The 22,396-nt window shown below is 43.2% G+C and overlaps 1 long non-coding RNA gene across 2 annotated transcripts, besides 3 other annotated features; it reads left to right on the forward strand.

Annotated features, from left to right (window-relative positions):
• Window positions 1,879-2,525: an enhancer, noted in NCBI's record as "NANOG-H3K4me1 hESC enhancer chr4:78095614-78096260 (GRCh37/hg19 assembly coordinates)". NCBI's record gives its function as "activates a minimal SCP1, AML or CMV promoter by ChIP-STARR-seq in naive H9 embryonic stem cells {active_cell/tissue: H9 hESC(naive)}" and the evidence as "EXISTENCE:reporter gene assay evidence [ECO:0000049][PMID:30033119]".
• Window positions 2,526-3,172: an enhancer, noted in NCBI's record as "OCT4-NANOG-H3K4me1 hESC enhancer chr4:78096261-78096907 (GRCh37/hg19 assembly coordinates)". NCBI's record gives its function as "activates a minimal SCP1, AML or CMV promoter by ChIP-STARR-seq in naive H9 embryonic stem cells {active_cell/tissue: H9 hESC(naive)}" and the evidence as "EXISTENCE:reporter gene assay evidence [ECO:0000049][PMID:30033119]".
• Window positions 6,451-19,991, forward strand: LOC107986292 (uncharacterized). Of its 2 annotated transcripts, XR_001741742.1 has the most exons (4): window positions 6,451-6,484; window positions 12,031-12,153; window positions 12,515-12,828; window positions 19,629-19,991. It is a non-coding gene; the product is annotated as an uncharacterized LOC107986292 (long non-coding RNA). The 2 variants fall into 2 exon arrangements; XR_001741741.2 differs by lacking the exon at window positions 6,451-6,484 and having other exon boundaries at window positions 11,729-12,153.
• Window positions 21,273-21,322: an enhancer, noted in NCBI's record as "active region_21638". NCBI's record gives its function as "activates an Ori minimal core promoter by ATAC-STARR-seq in GM12878 lymphoblastoid cells {active_cell/tissue: GM12878}" and the evidence as "EXISTENCE:reporter gene assay evidence [ECO:0000049][PMID:35858748]".

A 22,396-nucleotide genomic window follows, 5' to 3' on the forward strand; every position in this document is an offset into this window, starting at 1 on the left:
TTGTCCAATAAATATTTCACATGTCTGTGGTTTATCCCCTTGCCTAAACTCTAAGCTTCTCGTGAGAAGAGACCATACAGTCTCCTTCCTTTATATCCTATGGGTGCCTAGCATAATAATCCTGGGTAAAAATGTGTGTCAATATTTTTCTACGTGGATCACACCTGACAATGTTTTTTTCCATTCTTGGTTGCAGTGAGTTATAGTTTGTAAAGGTAAACACACGTGAGGACAAATTCATGCTCTCCAGAGTTAGGATTTCAGATCATTAACAGGGCTTCTGGGAGGCCATTGCCCATTGCTACAATCACCTGTACCTATTTGAGAGTAAGATGTAGTGATGGGCATAGGCTCTGCACCAGAAGGCCAGTCCTTGAGTCCTGGTTTGGCCACTCATTGTTTGACCTGGCGAGGTGTTAACTAAAGTGTTTGTGCCTCAGTTTCTTCATTTGCATAAAGGAACTAATAACAGCTACTTGTGAGGGACATAGTAGTGTGCTGCGGATGCCCCAGCCTCTGGGAGTGCCCTTGGCAGGCAGCCTTCTGTGGACAGCCCCTCTGGGGACTGCCTTAGTGGCAGAGTACTGCCTCATCCAAGGAGGGCTCACATCTAATGACTGAGTTGGAGGAGGTATAAAGTCCTGGTCACTTTGGTGCCCACACAGGACAACCCAGGTGAATCTGTCCAATCTCGCTTCTTTCTTTTCTTTCCTTTTTTTTTTTTTTGAGACAGGGTCTAGCTCTCACCTGGTGACAGAATGTAGTGGTGCGATCACCACTCACTGTATCCTCGACCTCCCAAGCTCAAATGATCCTCCCACCTCAGCCTCATGAGTAGCTGGGACCATAGGCATGTGCCACTATGCCTGCTAATTAAAAAAAAATTTTTTTGTAGGGATGAGGTCTCTATGTTGCCTAGGGTGGTCTTGAACTCCTGTGCTCAGGTGATCGTCTGGCTTCAACCGCCCAACGTGCTGGGATTACAGGCATGAGCCACCACACCTAGCCCAACCTTCTTTCCCCTCTCTGTTTTGGGTGTTGATCCCAAGGGTATTCCCTAATAAACACAGTGTACCCTAAACTTTGTTTCAGAGTCTGCTTCCTGGGCAACACCACCTGCTCCACTGCCTCGTGGGGTTACTGTGTATTTAAATATGATGATATATGATAAAGCATTTGGAACAGTGGCTGATATGCGCTCAATAAATACTGGCTGTAACAATTATCATCCCGTTTTTGTCTCTCTTCCTGCTAAGACTCAATTATTTATTCAACTATTACTGAACTAGTATGATGCAGAGTTATGTCCTAGGCACTGAGAATGCCAAAAGGAATTAAAGCACAGTTTTTACCTTCAAGAAGCTCATAATCTAATGAGAGAGGCAGACATATCAATTACTATGTAATGTAAGAAATGCGGGAATAGGAATTTGTCTATAGTGCTGTGTTAGTGTTCTGGCCTTGCCTCTGCTTGTATTCCTAACCTTCTGGATGAAGCTAAAAGGCCATGTAGTGTGATTCCAGTCATTGAAGGGAGGCCCTGAGGGCCCAACCTCTCCCCAGTTCCCCTCACATCCTTGTTACCCTTCAGCTCATTCTGCCATTCCCCCTTTTAGAATGCCTTTTCTTTAGCTAAACACCTTGAATCTGGTTAAAATGCAAATATTTCTAACAGGGCTTACATTTTAATGGGATTCAGAAACTGGTTTGAGCATATGTTAGCTGTGAATGTAGTTTTTGGCAAGCCACATGCTCAGGTACCCCATGAAGCAGATACTGAGATGAAGGGGTTTCTTGGGAGGATGCTTGTAAAAGGGAAAAAGGGAGGCAAGAGGATTGGACAAGGAGAGGCTGCAATTGTATTGCAGATCTGACAAAGATGCAGCTAACCTAGTACTTTGGCGCAGAATTTGCCCATTAGAAGAGTCCCAGGCTGGGCAGAAATGGGCTGACCTTGTACTTCCTCGCAGCTGGGGAGGCTGTAAGCTGAAAACTACCCAGGAAGAGCTTGGCTTCTGCTCAAACGCTGAGGTGGGGTTTGATGATGCTGCAGCTGGTGACTGGGAGCTGCTGCCCTCCTGGTGGTGGAATGGCAAGATCTTCCTGGAAGGGAGATCTGTGTGTCACACCTCCCAGCTGCCACATCATGTAAATTCTCTGAGAACTAGTTTTCTTGTTTTTTTTGTTTTGTTTTGTTTTCATTTTTGTTTTTTTTTTTTGAGATGGAGTCTTGCTCTGTTGCCCAGGTTGGAGTGCAATGGCACAATCTCGGCTCACTGCAACCTCTGCCTCCTGGGTTCAAGCGATTCTCCTGCCTCAGCCTCCTGAATAGCTGGGACTACAGGCGCCCACCACCATGCCTGGCTAATTTTTGTATTTTTAGTAGAGACGGGGTTTCACCATGTTGGCCAGGCTGGTCTCGAACTCCTGACCTCAGGTGATCCATCCGCCTCGGCCTCCCAAAGTGCTGGCATTACAGGCATGAGCCACTGCGCCCGACCGAGAACTAGTTTTTTAAGCTGAAAAAAGGGTACTCAGAATGCCAAAAACCTTCAGCACAAACGCTTCTTTCAAACTTCTGCACGAACAGACTTGACCAAACTTTAACACGGCTTCTAGCAGACTAAGGTTGTGTCCCTGGGGCAACCTAGCCTTCTTTTAAGTTCCTGTCTGGAAAAGCTCAGGGCTGTGAAAAGAATTTGCTGTTTGTTCCAGCCAACACCTGAAGATAGACCCCTGACCTCCTTACTTAGAGCATTTACCAAACAGGGCTTACAATTGTGAATTCTTTCTCTGTCTCTTTGAGATGTATGTGTATCTCCTGCAAGTCAGGAGTGTCTCTCTCAAGAATCTGAAAGCCATTCCTTTGAAATGTAATTATCAGGAAGGATAGGGCCCTGGCTCCTAACTGGTGTTAATTGCCAGCTAGCACGTGCAGCTGGCCTAATTATGGTGATGCCCACCAACCGTTTGTAAGGCTTCACCAGAGTCCCACAGGCTCCTCCTCCCTCCTCCCGCATCTTCCCCTTTAAAACGCCCAGTCACCTCAGCACAAATCAGAATTGAGCTCTGCTCCTTCTCTTACTCTCAGTAGTTACTGAATAAAATCTGTTTTCACCACGTTAACGGACGGTTGTTTATCTTTGACAATAAATACTAAGATCTATCTTCCCAACCTCACAGGGCTGTGAAGACGGAATAAGTTAATGGGGAAAATAAAGTTGTGAAGCTCTTTGCAAATATAAGTTGTTGTCAGTGTGAAGGCTTTGCATATATTGTTCTTAGAGAAGGTTTTAAAAAACTACATCAAAGTATTTTTCTGTTACTATATCTCCTTTGTAAAAATGTAAGCAATATAGAGAAAGTGGATAATGCCTCTAATACTGTTCCTCAGAGATGCTACTGTCAACAGAATGACATTTATCATTTCATTCTTTTTATGCAAGTATAAACATGTAAACTTTAAAAAAATGTATAAGCACGATCCTACTCTATGTATGCTTCTATAACCCACTTTCCTCATTTAACAATATATCAGGGGCATACATCAGTGTCAGTAGATATAAACCTACTTCCTTATTTTTAAAGATTGAAGAGGGTTTTGTTGGATGCTTACGTGATAATTTATTTAACTGATCTCTTTCTGATGGATGGCTGTATTATTGACAATTGTTCAGTATTTTAAATCAAAGCAGCAGTAAACATTCTTGCACATACATTTCTGCCTACCTGGGTAATAATTTCTTTAGGATGCATTTCTAGAAGTGAAAATCTTGGGTCCAAGAGAATGTACATTTAAAATGTATACTGTGTTGACCTGCATCCCTGAAAGGGGATATAGATTTATATTCCCATCAGTAATGCCTTTCAGTGACAGTTTCCTTACTTCCTTGACAGGTAATTTTGATGGGGAAGGGGGAGGAGGGTCAGAAAGGCAAATGGGGTCAATTCGATTCCTAAAGAATTCAGAGGAAGGTGTCACTAAAAAGGATGGGAGGAAAAAGCACAGACCCCAAAAGCTGGGCTCAGAAAGTAGGCAGTGCCTGACTACCTTTTGGTCCCAGGTTCCAGCTCGCCCACCACTGAGAAACACACATCCTAAGCCACCAGAACATGGGGACTCCTTTCCATAGGATGTGGGAGGCAAGCAACTGCAACGGCTCCCCTTGGGCCTGGGCAGGCAAAAGCCTTTCTGTACAGCACTGGAGAAAGCTCTGCCTGCAGCTATACCTGCCTGGCCTCGGCTCTTGCCTCATCTTGCACATTAAGGAGGAGCAAGGTTGATGTGTCCCACGAAGGAATGATCAAAGTCTAGTAAAGCTGCCAACTCTAAGAAGTGGTGCTGCGCCTGAACTTGGGGCCTGGCTTGGGGAGCAGACATTCATCTTTGGTTGCTCCAGGGAAACATTTCATGTTATTTTCGGGTGGGGCATTGGAGAGGGGGAAAAGGTGAAGGTGGCAGACTCATATTTTACCCGCCTCCATGTCTGTGTTGTACCAGCTGCCGTAGTTCTTCTCTTTCCATTTTTTTCTTATTAATTTTCTTAAATTGAAAAGATTGGAGCGCATTAACTTTCATGGGGAAAAAAACTTTAAAATACTGTTTGAATTCTCATCTTTTATGTATCCATTCTAATACCGCAAATGTCTTCATGATATATGTTACCTGCCAGCTGTTGTCGCAGGGGGTTGTGTTTTTCACATAGTTTCCAAGGGCTAATCCTTTTTTCCTTTGCATCTTACACTAAGCAGCTTTAGAGCACAATGGTGCAGCTGCTTCACAGCTGTTGTCTGGACTTAGGGCAAGAGCCCTGTTTGGGGTTGAATGATTTGACTCCTTTATGCAGTTTCCAGGACCCTGAGTTCTGAGAACACACACAGGGCTGCTCAAGCAAGAATGAAATGAGCCTACAAGAGACGCTTCTCCTTTGTCTGAGGCACACAGAGAGAACTGCATTTGCTCACCCAGGGCCAGCCCCAGCAGGCTCTCAACACTGCTTTTCTTCCCTTTCTTGATGCTGTTAGAAAAACATGAAAAAGATGGCACAGAGAGAAGCAGACCTAGTTATCCAATTCTTAAAATCTTTAAAAGCCATACTCCTGGTTTGTTGAAGCCAACGAGATTGTCTGCTCTTAGAGGGCAAGTAACCTACTATATTCAAGACCTGCAATTATGCTCAATAGATATGCATCATTTTATCAACTTGAAGAAATTAGAGAGGGACCTAAAATGCTAAAGAGGGAGGCTGGCTGGACATGAGGCAGAGCTCATGGTAACCACACCTTTGTGGGGTCACCAGAATTCAAGGTGAGAACCTCAGCTCTGCCAGCCCAGAGCTAGAATCTATCACACGGAGTGGAACAGCCTCTTACTGAAAGAGAATGAGGATACCAAGTAATTAATTTATACTGAGCATTTTCCTTCCTTGGATCTAGAATATTAATGCCTGCCATCAAAAACATGTTCTTTCTGTTGGCAGAATACATGGGAAATTGAACGGTAATCAGAAGGTCCATGCTTGGGCAGCATGGCCACAGAACAGTAGGTTTGATTTTGAGCATTACTTGTCCCCAAACAGCTTTCCCAGTTAAGGTCATGAGGTGTTGTTGTTTTTGTTGCTTGTTTTTTACTCTCTCAGTCATTCATTTCCATTGCTTCTACAGAGAGTTAATATCATCCTTTACATTTTGGTTTGATTATATTACATGAGACTAGAATTCCTGTATAAAAACTGTATATCTTTTCTTGATCCTGAGAGCTCTGATGCAATCATTCCAAAAACGACTCTGCTATCCTAGAAGTACTTTAGTATTAAGCATTTAGTATTGGGAATTGGGTAGTATTATTTTCCCAGTAGACTTTATAGTATATTTGTAGAATTATAATTTTAAATATAGTTCAGAATTTCCATAAACATTAAGCATTTTTTAAAAGCACTGAATGTAGAAGATACAAAGATAGACATGCATACTAGTTTTCTTCTTTTAGTTTTGCTACTAGTAACTAGTAGCAAAGAGAAAAAACATAGGCTCTGCATACAGGGAGCAACACAGGACTGACAGGAATGTAAAAAATCCTGTGGAAGGAGAAGGAAGAGGGAAAGAAAGGAAGCTGCAGGTGACATGAGATGAAAGAAAGAGAACACAGTGGGGATTAAAACATGGAGGGAGGATTAGCTGTGGGAGCCAGTGAGTCCAGGCGAGTTCTGTGTAGGACAGCTGTTGGAAAGAGCCTGGGCAGGAGGAGGGCTTTCGGGTTTTAGTCCCAGATTTGTCCACAGCTGTCTGACCTAGGCAAGTAACTTAACTGATCTGGAGTTAATTTTGTTGTTTTTTCTTTCTTTCTTTCTTTCTTTTTTTTTATGGAGTCTAGCTCTGTTGCCCAGGCTGGAGTGCAGTGGCCCGATCTCAGCTCATTCCAACCTCCACCTACCAGGTTCAAGCGATTCTCATGCCTCAGCCTCCGGAGTAGCTGGGATTACAGGTGTGCACCACCAAGCCTGGCTAATGTTTGTATTTTTAGTAGAGACGGGGTTTCGCCGTGTTGGTCAGGCTGGTCTCGAATTCAGGTGATTTGCCCGCCTCGGCCTTCCAAAGTGCTGGGATTACAGGCTGAGCCACTATGCCCGGCCCCCATTCTGTTCTTTATGAAATGAGGAGTTTGGGCTAGGTGACCTAGGTGACTTTCTGAGGTCCACTATAGCTTTGCCGAAGCACCCAAGACTCTTGTCTTTTGGGAAAGACCAGACTAGACTGAATTCCCAGACTAGAGGGCTGTCATTATTTCTAGGTATAATGTTTTAGATTACAATCCAGACTGTGATCCAGTCAAGTCTGTCTTGAGCTGTGTTAATTTTTACTTTAGAAGGACAGAACTGATAATGATTATATAAATAATTACGGTGGCAAAATGGAATGATGGGCATTAATTAATGGGAATAAGAACATTCAGCACAAATATATTCTGAAACCAAGACAAGGATGAAGACTGTAAGGCAAATGTACCTGGGAATGTGCTGCAAGTATAGCAGGTGTAGAAAGAACCACCATTTGGGCAGCTCCATCATTTTTCAAGCTCTGGTGAGAGAGGCCATCTTAGGCAGGCAGCTATCAGTAGTGGAGATCTGAGGGTGGCACCAGACAGTGACAAGCAGCATAAATTGGCAGACAATAAGCCACACCCATATTTAATATCCAGTGCATGCCTGTAGAGAGTCTATGCTGTTCTGACAATCTCTGCAGTTTCATCTCTTGGAGGATGGAAAGCTTAAAATATTTAGGTTAGAGAAAGGGTCTGATGAGTGAAGAACTCCTCTTTTGGCTTGAATCTATCTCTTCTGCCTTTTTTTCTTTTTTTTTTTTTTATATTGAGTTTCACTCTTGCTACCCAGGCTGTTGTGCAATGGCATGATCTTGGCTCACTGCAATCTCCGCCTCCCAGGTTCAAGCAGTTCTCCTGCCTCAGCCTCCAGAGTAGCTGGGATTTAGCAGAGATAGGGTTTCACCATGTTGGTCTGGCTGGTCTCGAACTCCTGACCTCAGGTGATCCCCTCACCTCGGCCTCCCAAAGTGCTGGGATTATAAGTGTGAGCCACCACACCTGGCGTCTTCTGCCTTTTTTTTTTTTTTTTGAGGTGGAGTCTCGCTCTGTAGCTCAGACTGCAGTGCAGTAGCACGATCTTGACTCACTGCAACCTCTGCCTCCCAGGTCCCAGTTCAAGCAATTCTCCTGCCTCAGCCTCCTGAGTAGCTGGGATTACAGGCATGCTCCATGATGCCCAGCTAATTTTTTTTTTTTTGTATTTTTATTAGAGACTGGGTTTCACCATGTTGGCCAGGCTGGTCTTGAACTCCTGACCTCATGATCCTCCCACCTCGGCCTCCCAAAGTGCTAGGATTACAGGTGTGAGCCACTGCACCCAGCCCTCTTCTGCCTTTTAATAATAGTTTTACTTAACTTAAAACCAGCTGTGAGCTTCTTCTTCATTGTTGCTATGGCCAGCTCCTAGAAAAGAGCTCATCACAGAGTAGATGCTCAATAAATGAAGGTGGAATTAACAAACACATGAAGCTACTGAAGGGTTCCCCGCAGGAAATTATGCTCTAGAATGGATGCTATTTTAAAGGACAGTATAGAATGGAAAGGGGTGTCAGTGATGCTTCTTTAGAACTCTGAGAATTGGAATTATAAAGTCAATACACAATGGAACAAAGCAGATATTTGGAGAATTCTCCTTAAAGCAAAACAAAACAAGCAAACAACCGACCAAAAAAGGGAACAGAATGTCTTCTGGGCCCCAAGGTGGGAAAAACAGGGCTTGGTTCTAGTGTACTCTGTGGAATCAACATGGCTAAGAAAGCGCAGGCCAACAGAATGAGAATGATTTGACCAGGAACAGAAAAACGAGTCAGAGAATCCAAGACCGACTTTGCCAGTGTGCACAAGTGTGAGGCTGGGGGCCTGGATGTCCTTTCTGAAATAAGAGAGAAGAGAGACCAAATTAGGAACACCCTTATGGTGAGACCGGACTACTTAGAGTACCCTAGCTTGTTCTGATCCTATATTTCTGTTTTGTTTTGTTTTTATTTTTTGAGACAGGGTCTTGCTCTGTTGCCCAGGCTGGAGTGCAGTGGCACAATCACAGTTCACAGCAGCTCTGACCTCCTGGGCTAAAGTGACCCTCCTGCCTCAGCCTCCCAAGTGCTGGGACTACAGGCATGGAGCACCACTATGACTGGCTAATTTTTCTTTTTTAGCAATTTTTTGCAGGGATAGGATCTCATTATTTTGCCCAGGATGGTCTCACACTCTGGCTTCAAGTGATCCTCTCACCTCTGCCTCCTAAATGCCAGTTTGCGCTGGGATTACAAGCATAAGCTTGTAATCAAACAATACTCATGCTATATAGAGTCAGAAGGCCTGCACCTGACTTTCTGATCCTATATTCTCCTAGCACGGGTAATGTCTGATTTCTTTGTTACAGGTAACTAACATGTTGATGTTGCCCTTTGCTGTCAGTTCAGCTCCTCTAGGAAGCAGATGCTAAGATGGAATTAGGAGTACAATAAATTTATTGGGGGCTAATGGCCATGACAGAAGGGAGAGGAAACAGGACTGGGCAATGAAAGTCTTCACACCTCCATGCAGATTAGACACCTGTGAAAGGAAAGAAAGAGAGGCAGAATTGGGCAAGGGGAGCTTCAGACCATGGTGTGGATCTGCATAAATCTCTGCCTATGCAATAGGGAGTTCTGGAACAAAGAGTCCCCATTAGAAGAGTCCCATGCTGGGCAGACAGGGCCACACCCGAGCACTCCCAGCTTGTACGGTATTGGCTGGGGGCTACCCAGGAAGAGATGGGCCTCAGCTCAAACACATGGCATATGTTGAAGATGCTGCAGCTAGAGGCAACAGTGAGTTCTCTCTTAAAGGGAGATCTTCGCAGCACACCTCCACAGCTGCCATGCGATCCAAATCTCTTATTCCATGCTGGCTTTCACTATAGAATAGTGGCCAGAGAGTTTGATACCTGCTTTCCCAGCCTCCCTGACAATTGGAATGACTATGTGACACAGTTCTGGCTAGTGGGGCTTCTGAGAAGCTAACTGGATAAAAAGACAAAGCCTTATGCGAAGAAAGCACGCACACACATACGTGCACCGGCTATTTGTTTTCTAATTTTGAATGCCGTCTTGATACCTGGAGGGGCAGCCATCTTGCAACCAAGAGGCCATAAGCAAATGTGCTGAAGGATATAGTTCCTTGATGACATTAATGAGACTGCTCTCTTCCTGGTAAATAAACAATATGTTATTAACAAATGTTCTTATGGTTTAATCTATTGTTTTGGTTTTTGTTACTTGCAGCTAACTGATAATACATTTATTGCCTGGTTGAAGTAACTTAAAGTATATATGTACTTAAAGAATATATGTAATTCACCCACAAGCAAGTTCCCATATAATAGGTCTCATTATAAATGAGTAAGTTGGCATTCTACTTTACATGTGAATTTCTTAATACTTTGGTTAGAGTGAGCCAGTCCTTGTGAAATCAATATTCACAGAGTATTCTGAGAAAAGAGTTTTGAGACCTGAAAAGCCAGAGAAAGACGAAGCCTGAAAAGGGTGACAAGGTGCACTCACTCAGCGTCCTTCCCGAGATTGTGCGTTCCAATCTTAGCAAGAGGGTTTGCATTTATTCAAGCCCCAGGACAAACTATGGCTGTACATCCTAGTTGGCAATAATTTTTAAATATCAAAAGCCTGAAACTTGTCACCTTTAAAAAAAAAATTTCTGCAGTGAAATAATGAAGCAGCGCCTGTACTTTTTAGGAGAATCAGCCCTGTATGATTAATTATAGGCCACAGGACAGCAATGGAATATATAGACTATGAGGACCAGTGGGCATTGTCTAGAAAGAAGCAATTTGTTTATAGAAGACCGATAAACACTGTGCCGACTTTCTTCCATTGACATACTAGCAACCATAAGGAAATTCACTCGTTGTCATGTTGGAAGACAGAGTCATGAAAAAGGATACAGAATAGGTCAGTTTTAAACATAGTTGAAGAAAGTATGGTGTGAGGACAATAGTGACAGAGTGGGGAATACCGAGTTGCTGGGCTGTAGTAGTGGGAATTCTGGGCACTTGTCCCTTTAGTGTGAGGACCCTAGACACTGGGAAATCTGAGGAGCACTATTTAGATGCAAAAATGGACCATTTTGATGTTCTCATCTGTATCAGTGTTGTCAAGGAAACAGATGACTTGCTCAAATTAGGATAATTCAAAGAGTGTTTAATAAAAGGACAATTTTCAAAGGTAAAAGAGAGGTGTAGGGAAACCTCAAGGATAGTGAAGTCAGGTCTTGAAACAGAGAAGCTGTAATCAAATTAGGCCCAAAGTGATAAAAGGAGGATAGATGGCTGCTGGAACCCAAAAGGAAGAGTTGCGTAGAAAAGATGACTTGAGAAGATCTGTGACCTTGGTTGAGAGGACACAGCTTACCTGAGAGCCAGGGGCCTAAATATACTGACCTCATACTCCTCCCTCCCTCCAATCTCTGCCAGGGCTCCCCATTGGCCCAACTAGAAGCCAGGGAGCACAAGAGCCTACTGGTGTAGTTCATGAACTCAGTTTCCTGGGTGGAAAGCACAATGGAGAAGAGCAGAGAGTGGGTCTGAAGGACAAAGAGAAGACACTGTGTCCCTTCCCTTGTTTGTCCTCTTTCAGAGATGGTTCTGGACAACTCTAGGACTAAAACCAGAAAGAGAGAGAAGGAAACTAAGTCTGGAACATCTGCAGATGATGTAATTTGTTCCTAAGAATTTGAGAGATTCTGAAAACATAAATAAATCATAACTTCAGGCTTTCAAGTAAGACTTGGATACAGCGAGCTCTCCCGGGAGGTGTTGAGGAGGGTGTTTGGAAACGTACCTTTGGCTGGTATTGAAGGAAGAAGAGTTCTCATTTCAACCAGTTAACTAGTTATTTCATCCAAGAAATAGCATAATGGAAAATATAGGGAAATGAGTATTTAAGTGTTGGAGGAAAAAAAAAAAAGAAAAGGAAAGCAGACCAAGCAGGAAGAAGCAGAGGAGGTGGAGTGGGCACTTATTAAGGGAAGCAAAGCTTTCCAGAAACCTCAGTTTATGATTCACTACCCAGAACTGGGTCATATGGTAGTTGGGCACCCCGAGCTGAGAGCGAGTCTGGAGAAGCAGACATTTCTACCTGGGCACAGTGATGCCCTGAACCAAATCAGGTTTCTGGTAGAAGACAGAAACAGGCGTAGATATTGGGCAGGCAATTAGCAGTGCTTCCTGTCTTACAGAAAACTAAGACTCATATATGTGAAGGAATTGATCCAAGAATTCACAGTTAGTAAGTGATGGAGCTAATATTCACACTTGGCTTCTTTGGACTCCAAATGCTTTTGTGTACTGGGTTATAAAGTTATAATGGAAGGCTGGTGCTGGCTTCTTGCCTTAACATGTAGCACTAAAAGACTGGTAGTTTATCCTGTAGGAAAGGATGGCTTTGGACATATGGAGAAGAAAAAACAGAATATTTCTAGGAGATGAATTTATTTCACCTGCAGTGAGGAACACAGGATATTGGTTCCAGTTTTGTCACTGACTTATAACTTAGGTAAGTCACTTATTTTCTCTGTGACATTTTGTTACTGTCTATAAAATGGAATAATATTACCTTCTAAAAACTCACAGATAATGTGAAATATAATAACAATATTAAGAAATGCTTTGATATCCATGGATAAAATGTTTTAAGGAAAAGTCAAAGATGTCAAACCAGCATTTTGGGCCACAGTGCTCATCAAGAACATTCCAGATAAAGGCAGAACACCACTCCTGTTGGATGTAACAGTGAGACTAAATACTGCCAAAGTCTAAGTGCCTGGAGAAATTCCTGTTAGGAACATGAACTACAGAGAACAACAATGCTTCCTCTTCTTTTCCTTTATTACAATAAGATTTCCTCTATTTCTAAGCTCCTGGACCTGAAGCAGACCTGCAGAGAGGATCAAGTGCAGAGACAAGCTGCTGCTGAGATCATCATAGGGGACCTCTTCTAACATATGAGTTCCTGAGGAAGTGCTGTGACCTTCCAATGCTGCCACTGGTAGTCTCATTTCAAAGAGTAAAATGTGAAAATCCAATGGCAGCAGCTATTGTGATATGCCAGACAGCAGGAATTGGGACTAAAAATCAAGGGATACTTGTGATAATAGATCCATAGTACTTTGGAGCTGGAAGAAACCCAGCTTCAAAAAACAGCTTGATTTGCAGCTCTTCATTCAAAAAGGTATAAACCCTCTCTTTTTAAATGCTTAAATGGAATAAATGTATTCAGGACAGCTGCTGAGATTATCTAGAAATACAGATTGCTTAAATTTGAATTCTGAATTCAAACTTACTAACTATGCAACTTTAGGAATGTTGCTTCATCTTTTCGGATGTTTCCTCATCTGTAAAATGGGATGGTAATAGAATCTTTCTTGAGTTTCTTTAATTAGGCAAGATAACCTGTGTAAAGCCCTTGGCACACAGTATGTACTCCCTAAATTCTAGCCCTTATATTAGTATGTATCTATAAACTATTAGAATTATAGAGCTATAGTTTCTATATTCAGAAAGGCTTAAATATTTGTACATGCCTACCTCACTGCTTCTGTGTTAGAGATACAATTGAAGGAGGGAGGTTGACAGTGAAAATGCTCAGAAGTTAGAGTCAGACAGACCTGATTTTGGATCTTGCTGTCTCTCCTGGCATTGTGCCCTTTGGTTGGCTACTTTACTTCTCCAAACCCCAGTTCCTTCTCTGTTTATCTAAGCAATGTGTCTTTCTTCTTGATGCCTTCAGCAGCCCTGTACCATTCCAATATTGATACAAACTCAATTCCTTCATTAACTTCCATAAGAAATCTATTCACACTGAGCATATTATCACTTTTTTTTTCATCCTTACTGTGAGTTCATATGATCATAGGGAGATATCTCATCACACAGAGTGCCCACATTTTCACTTGAAAAATCTCTACTAGATTGATCTCTTCTAACTCTTGCCTCCTGGCCCTCAGCCACTGTCTTCCTCCTACTCTTAAACTTACCCCAAGAATGCATCCAATCCCATTTTCCTTCCCTATTCTTCCTTTATTATTCTGAGAAATGTGCTTCTACCATAAGAAACCTGGATGCCAGCTTATTGCTCTTTTTTTTTTTTTTTTTTTTTTTTTGAGACCGAGTCTCGCTCTGTTGCCAGGCTGGAGTGTAGTGGAGCGATCTCGGCTCACTGCAACTTCTGCCTCCCAGGTTCAAGCAATTTTCCTGCCTCAGCCTCCCGAGTAGCTGGGACTACAGGCGCATGCCACCATGCCCAGCTAATTTTCGTATTTTTAGTAGAGATGGGGTTTCACCATGTTGGCCAGGATGGTCTCCATCTCTTGACCTCATGATCTGCCTGCCTCGGCCTCCCAAAGTGTTGGGATTACAGGCGTGAGCCACCATGCCTGGCCTCTTTTTTTTTTTTTTTTAAAATCACAACTGGGTAATCAAAGTATTTCTTCTGTCTCTGATCAGATGCTAAGAAGACAATTTTTTTCTCTGATCATGTTCTTAAACTCCTTAATCTTTAGAATGCAATTCTTCTTTTCTTGGAGAGAAACTGTGTTGGATATTTTCCATTTGCTCCTCCAGATATGACCCCCTCCTCCCACCCCACACTCATCCTCACCCTGCTGTGCACCTAGGGAAGATGACCCACGCTGACTGCATCACTGGCTCCTTGCCTTTTGGCTTCTGGATGGTTTGGCCAGTGAGTGTCAGGAGCAGAAGACTGGAGGATGGGAGAGTGAGTTCAGGATATTTATCCCCTCAGATTTATCCCCATCTTCCCAGGTCACTGCAGGTTGGACACATCCTCTACTGAAGGCCATATCGCCTGTCAGTGGGTCCTTCCCTGAAATTACCCTTTCTGGTTCTAAGAGCTACTCTTTCTCCTTGTACCTTCAGGCCTAGAGGTGGTCACAGCTCCTGCTGTAGCTGGCCCCAGGGATGCTACATTACTTCTTATATATTTTCCTTACTTGTCTACACCTTCATAAATAGTCCCTTTATTAAACTCTCAATTACACCATTTAAGTGTACCATCTATTTCTAGTTACAGCAACCTACCCATTTATTTAACTCTTCATTCCTTCAAAAACCATGATTGAGTTACCATTTCTAGCCAGGAACTATTGTGGGGACTGGGGATACAAAGGCAAATAATACATTCTGTTTTCCATGAGCTCACTGCTGGCAAAGGACACAGACAAATGAACAGATGGTGACAATGGAGCTGTAATAAGAGCAGTGTTAGCATTTTTGCTTTGAAAGGACATGAGGGAGGTCCTTAGTTCTCTTTAAGGACTAGCTGTGGTCTGAATGTTTGTGCCCCGACCCACTTCCCAAATTCACATGTTGAAATCGTCACCCCCAAGATGATGTTATTAGGAGGTGTGTCTTTGGGGGGTGATGAGGTTACTGGGGGAAGCCCTCATGAATGGGATTAATAGCCTTGTAAAAAAGAACCCAGAGACCTCCCCTGCTCCTTTTACCATGTGAGTACACAGCAGGAAGGTGCCATCTATGAACCAGGAAGTGGGCCCTCACCAGATACTGAATTGTCACATTGATCTTGGACTTCTCAGCTTCCAGAACTGTGAGAAAGAAATTTATTGTTTATAAGCTATCCTATCTATGTTATTTTGTTATACCAGCCAGAATGGACTAAGACAGGGATCTAGCAGAGAAATGCTTTCTGAAGAAGAAAAAATTGGCTGGGTGCAGTGGTTCACACCTGTAATTTCAGCATTTTGGGAGGCTGAGGTGGGAAGATCGCTTGTGGCCAGGAGTTTCAAACCACCCTGGGCAACATGGAGAGACCCCATCTGTACAAAAAAAATTTTTTTTTTAAAATTAGCCAGGTGTGGTGGTGCATGCCTGTGGTCCTAGCTACTCTAGAGGCTAAGTCAGAAGGATCACTTGAGCCCAGGAGGTGAAGACTGCAGTGAGCTGTGATTGTGCCACTGCACTCCCATCTGGCCTGTGGAGTAAGACCCTGTGTCAGAAAAAAAAAAAAAAAAAGAAAACCTTGCTTTTGCTTTCACTGTTGGAAGTCAAAGTGGAATAAGATAAGTGGGAATTAGCCAGGATGGGGAAGATGAAAGAGAGATGAGAGTGTACTAGAAGTGGGAATAGTTTTGGAAAAATGCTAGGAGGAGGATCAACTAAGGGGGTCAGAGCAGAGATGGAATTTGAAGACTGGTAGAAGACTGGCTCAGGCAGTAAACGGCTTTTTTTCTCTACTCTTTTTGCAGGAATTTTGTCTTTATCCTGAACGTGATGGGAAGCCAGGGAAGGCTTTTGTGTTTTAGAAACGTCTCTCTGGATGCAGTGTATAGAAGGACCTAGAGAGTGGGCCCTGAAGGTAGTGAAAACAGTTGGGAGGGCAGAGCAAGGCGGTAGGCGAGAAATGAGGGCTGAAACTAGGGTTGTTGCAGAGTGGATGCTGACGAGGGAGAACTCAGGAGAAGGTCTACGTGGGTAGCCTTTTTACCACAGTACTTGCAGCTGCTCTCTCATTTTAAACTGGGGATGTATAAATATAGCCGTGGCAGGGAATTGGAAAGTTTTAGCTCTGTATACATTCTAAATTAGGCTTGTACATTTTGGAGTTCAATATCTTATTAATGTTGTAAAAGATAGAATAAATACTATTATATATCTGTCTACGCAGTAGCACCAGCTCCATCCAAATAATGAGTTAGACAGTAACAAATCTCAGATTCCAAAGGGCAGAGCACCAACACAGAGGGTTCTTCCTGCTGTGCTGGCGTGGACAGTGGCCACCTTTCACCACCTGTTCCCCTGGATGCTTTTGTTCTTCTATGCTGGCAGAACTAGGATCCAGGCAGGCTTCACAATGCAGCCAGAGTTGCTGATAGTTTTGGCGAATAACCTACTGAAATTAATCCAGCTCAGAATATGAGTTCAGGAAACTGGAAGTAGAATTGTTCTTTACACAAACCTCATTTCCCCTCCCTGTTTCCTCCTCCACAGACTCAGGTTGTGGTTGGGGGGAATCAAGAGACAGAAAAGAAAAGGGATGGGTGGATTAGGATTCGGAAGCAGTTTGTCTTGGCTTGGAAGTAATAGAATTGAAATAAAGCTATTGAAAAGAAAATTGGGGTGCTTTCACCACACCTCTTCTCTCTGTGCCGCCATCCCTAAGGATAGCTCGTGTGGCAGGAAGAGCATTTTATCTTTCTTCTCTTGTGGGTTTCAGGGGTCTTTCACGGGAAAAAAGGGATAATAGGGCCACAGGGAGTGGTTACTGGCTCTACCATCTCAATACATCCCTCTAAACTCACTTTCAGACAATCCTAGCTGTAGTACTTAGTGCTCAAGAGCAGGGCCTTGGAATCCAAACAACCTGGGTTTAAATCCTCACTCTGACTATTCCTCTTGGCAGCTGTGTAACTTGGGGAAAGTTGCTTCATCCCTTCAAACCTGACTTTTCTCATTCATAACATAGGAATATTAATAGCTATCTCATAGAGGCAAATGGGGGATTAAATAAGCCAAAGTATGTAGAGTACCTGGCTCAGAGTAAGCAGAGGGTGGTAGCTTTTTTTTTCTTCTTTTTTTTTGAGACAGAGTGTCACTGCATCGCCCAGGCTGGAGTGTAGTGGCACAGTCTCAGCTCACTGTAACCTCCGCCTCCCAGGTTCAAGTGATTCTCGTGCCTCAGCCTCCTGAGTAGCTGGGATTACAGGCACGTGCTATCGTGCCTGGCTAATTTTTGTATTTTTAGTAGAGATGGGGTTTCACCACGTTGGCCAGGCTGATCTCCAACCCCTTACCTCAAGTGATCTGCCCACCTGGGCCTCCCAAAGTGCTGGGATTACAGGCATGAGCCACTGTGCCCAGCCAAAGGGTGGTAACTTTTAATTTTTGGGCTGTAAATTAGAGATGGAATGGCCAAATTAGGAGTCCAAGCTGGGCCTCCACTTTTGTGCTTGTCAGCTACATAGGCTAGGGGGCAGTGGGAGCCTCAAGATCACATCCTCAGGCATGGTCCAGGGCCCCATCCTCTGGCCTTGAAGAGTGATGACTAACTGTGGAATGTTGCCTGGCTTCTCTACAGTGAGGATTGTTATGTGTCTAATTTTGAACTGGACTATCAGGTAGTTGAGCTTTCTATCCAGGAAGTCAACTGAGAAAACACTGGCATAAACATGCGGGGAGTGGGTTTCTCTTATTTGTTAAGCTTTATTTTTAGTGTTATTGTATGACTTGTAGATGAAGATTCTCACTGACTTTTGGGCCTGCAGAAGCAGGTGCTACCATTGCAGGCCTTGGACATGAACATGGTATTGTTCCAAATTCATTTCTGCATTATTTATACATTTGCAACTTCAAAGTGGGGCTGACCATTTCCCTTTTATAAGGGTGCCTCTTTTCTTGGGCTTTCCAGGATGCCATGTCTCCTTTCTTCTTCCTTCCTTTACAGGCAGTGCTGTGTAGTGTGCTGACTACAGGTAAGGATTCTGGAGCCAGACTGCTTGGGTTTGAATCCACGTCCACTACTGTGGCTGTGCTACCTTAGGCCAATTTTTCATCCTTGTGTGGTTCAGATTCCTCATGTGGGACATGAAGACCAATAATAGAATTGTTGTGAGAGTTAAATGAGTCAATATGTATTGCACGTGGAACAGATCTGGTTAATAGTGCTATATGTGCTTGTGCCATGAACTAGTTCTAGATGCTTTACAAACATAATATCAACCAACTCTCACAACAGTTTTATAAGGAAGCACTATTTGTATCCCTATTTCACAGCCTGAGAAAACAGAAGCTTAGAGAGGTTAGCTAGTGTGAGGTCACAGAGCTAGTAGGTAGTAGAGTTGGGAATTAAACCCAGGTTTTTCTGTCTACCTGTAAAGTCTGTGTTCTTGACCACTATTTACCCAGTCTTCCATAGTAGGTGTTTTAAATTTTTGAGAAAGTTTTTTGTCTTTTTTTTTTTTTTTATTTTAATGGAGTCTCGCTCGCTCTGTTGCCCAGGCTGGAGTGCAATGGCATGATCTCAGTTCACTGCTTGAACCTCCTGGGTTCAAGCAATTCTCCTGCCTCAGCCTCCCAAGTAGCTGGGACTACAGGCGCCTGCCACCATGACCGGCTAATTTTTTTTGTATTTTTAGTAGAGACGGGGTTTCACCATGTTGCCTATGGCTGGTCTCCAACTCCTGGCCTCAAGTGATCCACTCCCCTTGGCCTCCCAAGGTGTTGGCATTACAGGCGTGAGCCACCGCACCCGGCCGAAAGGTTTTTTTAAACAGTTCTTCTCCAGCATGTTTGGCAATTTTGTTGATTCTATCTGGCTACCCTAAAGGAAGAGTATCTATCTCCTTTCTCCTGACTACAAGTATGTGAACACTCAAGATGAAAGAAGGGGACTAGCATCAGTAAATTCCCGGAAAGCACTGGTGACAGTCGCAGGAATAAACTAGGTCAATTTGTGTCTCATTGTCCATTGACCTATTGCCTTAGACTTGGTTAGATCTCAGTGTGATTCCAGCTGGCCTCTCAGCTTCTCTTCTTTTCATCCTCACATCTATCCTCCAATGGGATTCATGTAGCTAAACTTGCAGCTTTTCAAAAACTTTTGCTCTAAATACCTCTAATAATGGATAAGTGCCTCTGGAAACTCTGGGGAAGGTAGAGTTTAAAGCAGTCTGTGATAAGCATAAGATTTCTTTGAAGGCTCATGTTTTCTTAAGATTTCATGCAAATTTTACAATGTATTTCCTTTTTTTAAATTTTAAATCAATGTTTTATCTAGGAATGATTTTAGATTTACATAAAAATTGAGGGATAGTAAAGTGAATAACATATTCTCTTCACCTAGTTTCCCCTAATGTTAACATCTAATGTAACCACAGTACATTTGTCAAAACGAAAAGATTAACATTCGTATATTGCTAAGAACTCCAAACTTATTTGGATTTCACCAGTTTTTTTTTTTCACTAATATAGATTTTTTTGTTGTTGTTGTTCCAGAATCCCATCCAGGGTATGACATTGAACTTACTCATCACGTCTCTATAGTGTCTTCTGGTATGTAATACTTTCTCAGTCTTTCTTTATTTCCATAACCTTGATTAACTGTTTTGAAGATTACTGGTCAGCATTTTGTAGAATGGCTGTCAGTTTGACTTTGATGTTTTTCTTATGATTATGTTAGGGGTATGGGGTTTGAAGAAGCATACCATGGGAGCGAAGTGCTCTTCTCATCATATCAGGGGGTACATAATAGCAACATGGTTTATCTTTGATCATATTAATCTGGATCACTTGGTTAAGATAGTGCCTGCGAGGTTTCTTTTTTTGAGATGGAGTCTTGCTCTATCGCCCAGGCTGGACTGCAGTGGCGCGATCGTGGCTAACTGCAAGCTCCGCCTCCCGGGTTCACGCCTTTCTCTTGCCTCAGCCTCCCGAGTAGCTGGGACTACAGGGGCCCGCCACCATGCCCGGCTAATTTTTTGTATTTTTAGTAGAGACGGGGTTTCACCGTGTTGACCAGGATGATCTCAATCTCCTGACCTCGTGATCCGCCCACGTAGGCCTCCTAAAGTGCTGGGATTACAGGCGTGAGCCACCGCGCCCGGCTGAGGTTTCTGTACTATACAGTTATTACTTTTCCCTTCGTCTACTCTGTTCTTTGGAAGGGATTCTCTAAAACTTGCTCAGACTCAAGGAACGGGTGTGGTGATTAAACTCCACCTCCTGGAGTGGGGAGTTACATATATTATTTGAACTTTTTCTGCAAGAAAGATTTATCTCTTTTCCCATTCATTTATTTATATTGGTTTGGATTACTATTGTCTTAATATAAAATAAATCTTTTTATCCCCAAATGTACAAGTGGAATGACTTTCCAGAAACATGTGAGTCCTGAGGATACTCATACTTTCTAGCCCGCCGTTTGCGAAGCACAGACAAAACCCAAAGCCTCACTGGGTTACTTCCTTGCTTCCATTGAGTCATCCTCCTCAATAATACTTGTGAATGAACGAATAAATGCATAACACGCACAGGTGAGCGATGAGAAATACCAGCGTTGTCTGACGGTAAGGATATTTGTGTTCAACACCAGTGTCTGACCAAATAGCTACTCATATTTCTTCTGAAATTCTTTAGGGCACACTAAACATCTTCCATGTTGTCTAAGTGCTGGAAGGGAAATTGATTCAGCCACTTTTTGAAGGTGACTCTAAATTATTCTCTCAAAATACTCAACAGCCTTTACAATGTAGTTAAAAAAAAAAAGCGGGTGGAGGGGAGAAATGCCTGTCTAAAGTAGGAAGCCCCAAGAGAAAGCCCTGGGGCGTCCAGAGGCTTGGTTTCACCTGGCAGCCGTCTGGGACCAATTGCGGAGTTGAAGTAGCTCCTACGCTTTCTCATTGGTCCTCACCCAGGGGGAAGGCGTGGCTTCAAGTGTAAAAGGCGAGGAAGCCTGGCGGGGCTGTGGGTTGTTCCGCTGGTGGATGGTTTGGGGTTGGTCGGGCGGGGTTTCTTCCAAAGCTTTGTAGGCCTGCGAGGTACTAAGAAGTTCTCTGGTGGCTGGAGGGGTGGGTGGAAAGGACCAAGCTCTTGGTAATTCTCAAGGGGGAACTTTGGTTAGCTTGCTTTAGAAGTGAAAGATGAACGAAGAAAAAAGCGAGGGCACTTAAGCGGACTAAGGAACTCGAAAGAAGGGGAACTAGGCGTTGTGTGTGGGCAGAAAATACCTCCTAGGAGGTCACAGCAACTCCCTGAAGTCGTTTTTAGCAGGCTTGCCTCTTCCAGTTACTGTGCTTTCTTAGAGTTTGTTCTTTTAGAAGCTTAAGATACAATCTTGAATTGAGGTTTCTTCTCTCATGCTCAAGCCTTACTTGCTGAGAAGGCTCCTGTCTCTTGACTTCTGTTTAATCTCTACCATAGACTTTAGCAAAGCCACTCTTATAGCTAACTTACTGAAGTTACGTAAACTCCAAGAGAAATACACGGGTTTAGAGGTTCTACGTTTAAAGCAAGCGCAGCAATCTTTAGAACTTCCTTTTAGCTATTTGGAATCCCAAAGTCTCTATTAAACACCTGTCTGGAGTAATGGTGGAAAGTGACTAAAAAGCTAGCTTCTCATCTCTTCAGAGACTAAAAATTAGATCCACTTCGATGAAAACCATAAGAAAATGTAGATCAACTTTGAATTAGTTTTTTTTTGAGGGTAGGAAACGTCCCTTTGTGACCTATTAGTAAAAAAAACTAAAATGAACTTCAAGCATGTGGCTTTTAAGACTCCTTACTAGGAAGTTAGGATCTTAATCATATTCAGCAGAAAGCAGCTGTCTGCCTCGAAGACACGCAACCTGTGGGCTGCAACTGACCTTCCACCTGGTTGTGGAGGTGGGAGACTCGTTGACTGGCAAGCCTCAGGTAATGTCAGACTGACACACCTGAAAGCACTTCTGATAGCAGTTAGAAACTTAGTAGTTGAAACAGGAAATTTCATCTAGTTGAACAGATCGTTAGCATTGAGAATGGACACTTCCTTTAGGCTTACTAGGAAAGGCAAACCATCTGTCATGGAAAAGATAAAGTGGCATCTTAGTGACAGACTCAAAAGTACACAGCATGATGGATATGTTCATTATCTTGACTGACAATTTCACAGGTGCGATGGTAGCAAGTTACATAGCTTAAATATCGTAATTCTTGCGTGCCAGCTACAGAAAAGTGCTTTTTAAAACCATGTCCAGTCATGTAGGTCCACCTGCCTTAACCTGAAC

The sequence above is a fragment of the Homo sapiens genome, chromosome 4 (assembly GCF_000001405.40).
Source record: "Homo sapiens chromosome 4, GRCh38.p14 Primary Assembly".
Classification (NCBI taxonomy): domain Eukaryota; kingdom Metazoa; phylum Chordata; class Mammalia; order Primates; family Hominidae; genus Homo; species Homo sapiens.